Genomic DNA, 7,354 nt, shown 5'->3' on the forward strand with positions numbered 1-7,354 from the left:
AGCTTCCGTGGTGGGCCATGGCAGTGAACAGCCTTCAGGCATGTCTACGGTGGAAGATCTGAATTCAGGCTGGTGGCAGGAGACAACACAACCACGTTTTCTTTTATGCATGCATTTGGTTTAATTGACACATTAACCACAGACAAAGGGGTAAAGGCCACAAGGCGTTAGGTTAGTATGAACAGGGAAAGGGACTTTTTTTTTTTTTTTTTTTAAGAAAAATAAAAGCATCAGTATTGCAAAGACTTTCCATGATCCTACACCCACCTCGAAAGCCCCCTCTCACCACAGGAAGTGCACTGACCACTGGAGGCATAAAAGAGGTCCTCAAAGAGCCCGATCCTCACTCTCCTTGCACAGCTCAGCAGGACCTCAGCCATGAGACTTCTCATCCTGGCCCTCCTTGGCATCTGCTCTCTCACTGCATACATTGTGGAAGGTAAGTGGAGAAGCTGTCTGTGAGATAAAGAACAGGGAGGCAAGGCAGGTGGGCACACATTTTGGGTTTGACTCAGGTTATGACTGGACTAACCTGCTTTCCCCAGGGGAGCCTTAAACTTCCCATGTGCAAGAAAGGAATGATGATTTTGACTGTAGAGGGCTTCGTAAACTTCCAAAACAGGGAGAATTTGATTAGTATCTGGGCTCCTACTTTTCCTAATTGGGTAATTTCAGGTAAATTCCTTAACCACTCAGGGCCTGTGCTTATTTATGTATAACTGAATAGTATAACAGACATGATCACCTGAGATTAAGATTAAATAAATATTATGGTTTATTTAATAACATCAGATTTCCTTACAAGCAGTAATTTTTTGATTAATGTTAGCTATGGATTAGAGGTGATGATTATAAATGCATTTGTAGGTTTTGCCCATTTAATATATAGTTTGATAAATTATCAAAATCTTAGAGAGTTCAGTTACAATGTGGGGATGCACCAGAGGATGTATGTTCTGGAGTAAATCAATGTTTTCAATACAAAACTAAGCCCCAAATGACTGGAAGTTCAAACCTTCATGTCCAGAAAATCAATATTACCTTCAAGTACGTGGGGGACTCTGTTAGTAATGCCATGACTATTACTATTTATGAGAAATTTTCTGTTTTTGTAAGAGAACATACAATAATAACTACTACCAAATAGATCAGCACCTTATACACAGTTCAATAAACCTGCAAGACACATCCAGGTAAGATTCAGATATACCGAGCCCTTACCTGAGCATTCAGTAGGTATTTCTTAAGGATTAATTTTTCCTATGACTGGAGTGAATCTGTCGACTTATTTGTGTTCTAGTTGGTAGGCTTATTACTTAGACTATGATATTATAACTTAATAATGGGTCCCCAAGGGGTTCCATGAATAAAGGTGGCTAAGTCTGGAAGTCCTTGAAATTATGGATAAAACAAAAAAATACTGATGAAACAAAAGAGTTTGATTACTACATTAGGCCACATGTTGCTACCTGGCTGGCATTTTGCTGAGACAATGGGCATACCATTTGAGGGAGACTCAGATCTGAGTAGGGGAAAGGAGCTCTGTTAGAGGCTGAGAAGAACTGCAGACACTGGTCTCAAATTCCCAAGTTTTCTAGTTGAAGGAGCTCTATAAGTCCCACTGGTGCTTAGCTTCTTACATACAAAAATGAGGGAAAACGGTCTCTGCTTTGACTCAATTTTGCAACCTGAGTGAAGGTGATATTTTAAAAAATAACACAGACACTCAAACATTGCTGACAATAAGGAAAAGGCTTTGTGGTTTCAAGCATAACAGGATTCCCTGAGTCTTAGGAGTCCACTTCAGATACTTCACAGAGAGAAATATTGTTTCTTAAATATGAGAGAAACAGAGAAAAAACCCAGATTTTTCCTCTTTCATTGGCTACAGAAACAATTCACCACTAAAAATAAATTGGCAAAGGTAGAGGATAGCAATGTGCAGACTGGCATTGAGAGTGAAGAAATGATGAAGAAAAGCACACAATGAACACTCTTTGTTTAGTCCCTTGCTTTAAAAAATGCCTTCTGATATTAGCAACACTACAGACCAATGTTGGCCATTATCAGTGGTTACTTTAGATGCTTTTTAGCTGCCTATTTCCCTGGGAAGCAAAGACCAGTGTCTACAGCTAAGGAGAAAATCAGCACTTAGAAACTTGGATTAGATTTCACCCAACCCTTAACAGTATTAATTCTCCCAAGTTATTTTTCCTCTTGCAATGTAAGATGATTCTCTACACTTAATAGTTTAATTCCTTTGGGCCATTACTATTGGGGATGCATATTTAAGGGCTGACTTCCTTTTATATATATCTTACCTTTTACCATTTATTAATTTTTTGGAGAGTTTTTATTATTTTTATGTACAGAAAACTCAACAGTGTACATTTAACCCAGTTTAGTGGCAAGTTCCTCTGCCTTTGCTATTTCCAGCTTGGCATTGTGAGCCACAGATTTTGGACTCGGGACATTGCAGATCTCATCATATCCGTCATTGTAATTTGTCCTGATAGCTTCCACCAGCTTAGCCAAAGCTCCTTTGTCTTCCTGGTTAACTTGTGTGAAGGCCACAGTGGTGCTTCCTGTGGACTGGATGTCCCAGTCTTGCCTTCTTACCCCTTGATAATGCATTAAGGGACCCCCCATTTTAGGACACAGGACAGACAGAAAGTTAACCAGCTTGATGGGGTCCACACCATGTGCAATACCAGCTGAGCCTTCTTCTTTTCCAGCAAGGTGGTGATAGTGTTAACCCCTGCTCAAAGAACAGGTGATTTCCTAGTGGGGACAACCCCTTTGCTAGCAGCTTTCTTCTCAGCCTGGGCCAACAGTCTCTGCTTCTTCTCTTGCTTTGTCTCTGGTCAGTACTTGTGGATCAGCTTAAGTGGCTGAGTAGCTGTTTGGGGGTCTAAGGCTTGGGTGAACTGGTTAATGGCAGAAGGCACTTTCAGCTGCTTATAGAGGATAGCTCTTTGCAGCTGGAACCAGATATAGCGGGGCCATTTCACAAAGCAGCGGAGGTCCCTTTTGGGCTGGATGTCCTGTCCAATGCCTGCCTAAGAAAACTCTTAGGCCTTTTCTCACACAGCGGTTTCATCACTTTCTTAGCCTCCTGCTTCCTCACGACGGCAGGGTCTGGGGCCACTTTCCTTCCTTTGGCCATCTTTCCTTTCAGCATCTTAGGCAGCTGACAGAGAGAGACATTTGACCATTTAAAAAGGAGAACACCTTTATTTAGTCTGTCAAAAGCATGCTTCCTTCCCTCACTGAATGTTGCCTTGCCTAGAGTACTCTTCACGCATTACTCTGTCATCTCACTTATGGTACTGTAACATGTTGCACTATTTGAAATGATCTTTTCTGTTTGCCTGTCTGCTGCCTGGCTCCCTCATGAGAAGATATGCTCTATGAAAACAGGAGTAATGTCTGCTTAGTAAAACATGTGGGACACAACAGGCACCATTGTATAAATGAATGAATGCGTGTCACTGGGGCATTTGCTAGCCGTCCCAAATGTCTAAGTGAAAATATACACAGAGACGGGATAACATCTTGTTATTTTCTCTCAGCATGAAATTCCTGAAACAATTCTGTTGATTGAGTTTTTAAATTAGTCAAATATTTACTAAGAATCTGTGACGGGCAAGAGATTCGGGATGCCTATCAGTCCTCTCTTCCCCCAAAAAGCAAATGGCCTTAAATTCTCACAACATTCTCAGAGTAATTTAACAGATGATTGTTCCTGTGATCTGGATAATTGCTTTATTTTTAATTGTCTGTTGTTTTTTTTTCCTCACCAGGTGTAGGGAGTGAAGTCTCAGATAAGAGGACCTGTGTGAGCCTCACTACCCAGCGACTGCCGGTTAGCAGAATCAAGACCTACACCATCACGGAAGGCTCCTTGAGAGCAGTAATGTGAGTCTGCCTCCTCAGAAGTTGTGCTGGGTGGGTATCTAGAAGTATAGAAATACACTCTGTAGAAATGCTGCCGTCCTCAGGAAAAGTAGGTCAGCATAGAGGAACACCTCAACTTAACCAAAAACCTCTTTAGTTTTCCTTATCAATCATGTCTTTCTGCAGCCCAACCGAATAGCGATTATTGCAGAAATTGGGCTGCCAAAGAAAGAATAGAAGTCCTCCTCTATTTAGCTTAGTGGAAGAGTCTGTTGAATACTGTGCACAGCTCTGAGACCTGGGTTTAGAGATGACTGGCCCATGTCAGGGTTTCCCTGCAAGCCTCACTGGAGTTGGGGGATCTTAGGGTTGAGTCAGGCAGAGTCCCATACTTTTATCAGTTGCCATATTTCAAGAAAATGAGTCAATGCACAACCTACATGGTCCCTTTCTTCTACCAGAATCTCATTTTTAGAAGTAATAACTCTTCTCAACATGTAATTGCAAGCTTTACTCTAAAAAATGAAAATGTAAAAATCACTTTTTATTTAAAAAATAAGATGAATATTTTTAAATTTGAAAAGGAAGAGGTTATGTAATAATGGAACTAGTTGGCCTCAAAGTCTTTTTGTTACAACATTTGGTGACATGGATGAGAAAAGGACCCTGTGAATTATTGTGAACAAAGGGGCTGGATACTACTTGCAGATATTACTCCTTTATGTTAAAATAGATGGCAGAAGAAGGGTACTCATTTATGATCTCATGGCTCTGAAAGACTATTTCTTGCAGTAATTTCTGCACAAGATCTCTTCATGTCTGCCCTGATCTTAACTCCTGACCCTGAGGCTTTGAGAATGTGGCTAACTTCGTCTGTCTTTTCCTTGCGTTACAGTTTTATTACCAAACGTGGCCTAAAAGTCTGTGCTGATCCACAAGCCACATGGGTGAGAGACGTGGTCAGGAGCATGGACAGGAAATCCAACACCAGAAATAACATGATCCAGACCAAGCCAACAGGAACCCAGCAATCGACCAATACAGCTGTGACTCTGACTGGCTAGTAGTCTCTGGCACCCTGTCCGTCTCCAGCCAGCCAGCTCATTTCACTTTACACGCTCATGGACTGAGTTTATACTCACCTTTTATGAAAGCACTGCATGAATAAAATTATTCCTTTGTATTTTTACTTTTAAATGTCTTCTGTATTCACTTATATGTTCTAATTAATAAATTATTTATTATTAAGAATAGTTCCCTAGTCTATTCATTATATTTAGGGAAAGGTAGTGTATCATTGTTGTTTGATTTCTGACCTTGTACCTCTCTTTGATGGTAACCATAATGGAAGAGATTCTGGCTAGTGTCTATCAGAGGTGAAAGCTATATCAATCTCTCTTAGAGTCCAGCTTGTAATGGTTCTTTACACATCAGTCACAAGTTACAGCTGTGACAATGGCAACAATTTGAGATGTATTTCAACTTGTCTCTATAATAGAATTCTGTTTATAGAATAAGGGAGAAAATAATCCAGTCTTCACTGGGTTCCCATTCTGAGGGTCCACTACTCAAAAATTTGCTTCACTCAATTTTTTTCACCTCTTTGTGTTTTATTTTGGTGTCCTATTAAAGGAATAAAATGACACAACTTGTCCCTTTTTTGTCCCATTAGCAAAAATTAGAATTTTGGTATAAAGAAACTTTATTCAAGTAAAAATCAATACCCTTTGAATTGGACAATAATCTCACTACCTTATTAGGATTTCTGTATTTGCCATTACGCTAGTTATCATGCATGTTATGCTTTACTGCGAATAAGCTTTTAATGCTCCAAATGCTGACCCATGCAATATTTCCTCATGTGATCACAATTTGCAGTAAACTTTTAATTAAATGCTCATCTGGTAACTCAACACCCCAGATTCATGCTGTCTTGTATGCTAATTAAATTGCTGATTTGTTTCATGCTTAGGGTTTTACTATCCAAGTAGCTGACGATGTATACATTCTCTTCTATCAGACTCTGAATAGGAAGACCTGACCTTGCCTTGATAGTTTTAAGTGAAAAATATTGGCTGTTGTTTATTCTTGTGGGGGCATTTAACAATATCATGAATTTTCAGAGGGTAGATGAAAGCAACTTGTTCAAATCTGCTCACTTCTAGTCATACAACTAGTGAATCAGAGTGGAAACTACTAAAAAGTTGCCTCCTAGCAAACGGTGTGGTCACCTATCCATGTTCATTGATATTTGTCTAAAATAAACTTCAGAGGTGGTCTTAGAGAAAGCAATCCCTTAATAAGAACAGACATCCTGCTTCATGAAGGCTGAAAAATAACAAAGTCACAAAAGATGAATGGAATGGTTTGTCTGCCAAATGTCTCCCAGACCCTAAGGATTTATTTGGGATAATAATAATAGGATGTGTGGAAGGATATGGGCAGTGCTTGACTTTTCATTTTATGGCTGTTCTATCTTTTAAATAATAAATAGTTGTTAAAATATATAACCATAGCTATTTTCTTGCTGTACAAATATGAGCTCACTTAATCACATTACAGAGCTCAATTAAAGACAAGACAACGGAGGCATAAAAGGGTTAGTTAACTTTCTGAAGGTCCCTTGGTCTGTGAGGGGTAGAGTTTAGATCTGAACTCATGCAAGATTCAGGGTGTTGACAACTGTGTCACGCTGTCTTTCTCACTTCAGAAGACAATTCCCTTCGGGCCAAACCATATGTAAAGAGATGATTCAGGGGTTATCCTTATTTAACCTACAGACTTCATTCATTCATTCGTTCAATAAATGTTTACTGAACGTTTATTATATGCCAGAAACTGAAGACACAGCAGAGTGAACAGGACAAAGTCACTGCTTTCTTAGAGCTTACATTCTGGGAAAATCTTTCTTGCTTCCCTTCCCCAGGAACTCACTCCACCAATACATTGTTATTGCATGCCTAATGGATTCCAGATGCTTGGCTGGGCACTGGAATGCAATGGTGAAACCTTCAGGTGTTTATCTTCTGGGGGTTTACACTGGGGAGACACACAAGTAAGCAAACGATTTCAATGCAGTGTAATATGTGGGATGATGGAGAAAGCAGAGGGTGTGAGCTTTGGACACACAGGAGCAAACCTATCCAGATCTTAGCATGAATGGAGGGTAAAGATGAGCTTCCCCTTGAAAATATCCTCTAACTTGAGACCGGAAAGAAGATTTAGAGTTATGCTGAAGGTTTCAGTGCATTCTAGGCAAAGAGAACAAGCATCACAGGCAAAGGCCTGCAGGTAAGAGGAATCCTGATGAATTAAGGAAAGGCAAGTAGTTTAATATGACCGAGGGACAGTGCGGGGGTTAGGAAGTGGGTGCAAAAGGTGAGGTCAGGGAGGCAGAGCAGATACTATGAAGGGCCTTGTCTGCCAGACCAAAGAGCATGTACTTCGTTTTAAAGGC

The 7,354-nt window shown here is 40.2% G+C and overlaps 1 protein-coding gene and 1 pseudogene across 1 annotated transcript; one reads left to right on the plus strand and one right to left on the minus strand.

Moving 5' to 3' along the window:
• The first annotated feature begins 345 nt into the window (after positions 1 to 345).
• XCL1 (X-C motif chemokine ligand 1) lies at positions 346 to 5,810 on the plus strand. Its single transcript, NM_002995.3, has 3 exons — positions 346 to 439; positions 3,804 to 3,918; positions 4,793 to 5,810. Exons 1-3 carry the CDS (start codon positions 379 to 381, stop codon positions 4,959 to 4,961), a joined length of 345 nt encoding a protein of 114 aa, NP_002986.1. The 5' UTR covers positions 346 to 378; the 3' UTR covers positions 4,962 to 5,810.
• RPL7AP21 (ribosomal protein L7a pseudogene 21) lies at positions 2,342 to 3,204 on the minus strand (annotated as a pseudogene).
• Positions 5,811 to 7,354: the final 1,544 nt, after the last annotated feature.

This window comes from Homo sapiens, chromosome 1 (genome assembly GCF_000001405.40).
Source record: "Homo sapiens chromosome 1, GRCh38.p14 Primary Assembly".
Classification (NCBI taxonomy): Eukaryota; Metazoa; Chordata; class Mammalia; order Primates; family Hominidae; genus Homo; species Homo sapiens.

Coding starts and splice junctions, on each gene's coding strand:
- XCL1 (NM_002995.3), top strand. CDS start 379: ATGAGACTTCTCATCCTGGCCCTCCTTGGCATCTGCTCTCTCACTGCA. Junction 440..3,803: donor CACTGCATACATTGTGGAAG/GTAAGTGGAGAA, acceptor TTTCCTCACCAG/GTGTAGGGAGTGAAGTCTCA. Junction 3,919..4,792: donor GGCTCCTTGAGAGCAGTAAT/GTGAGTCTGCCT, acceptor CTTGCGTTACAG/TTTTATTACCAAACGTGGCC.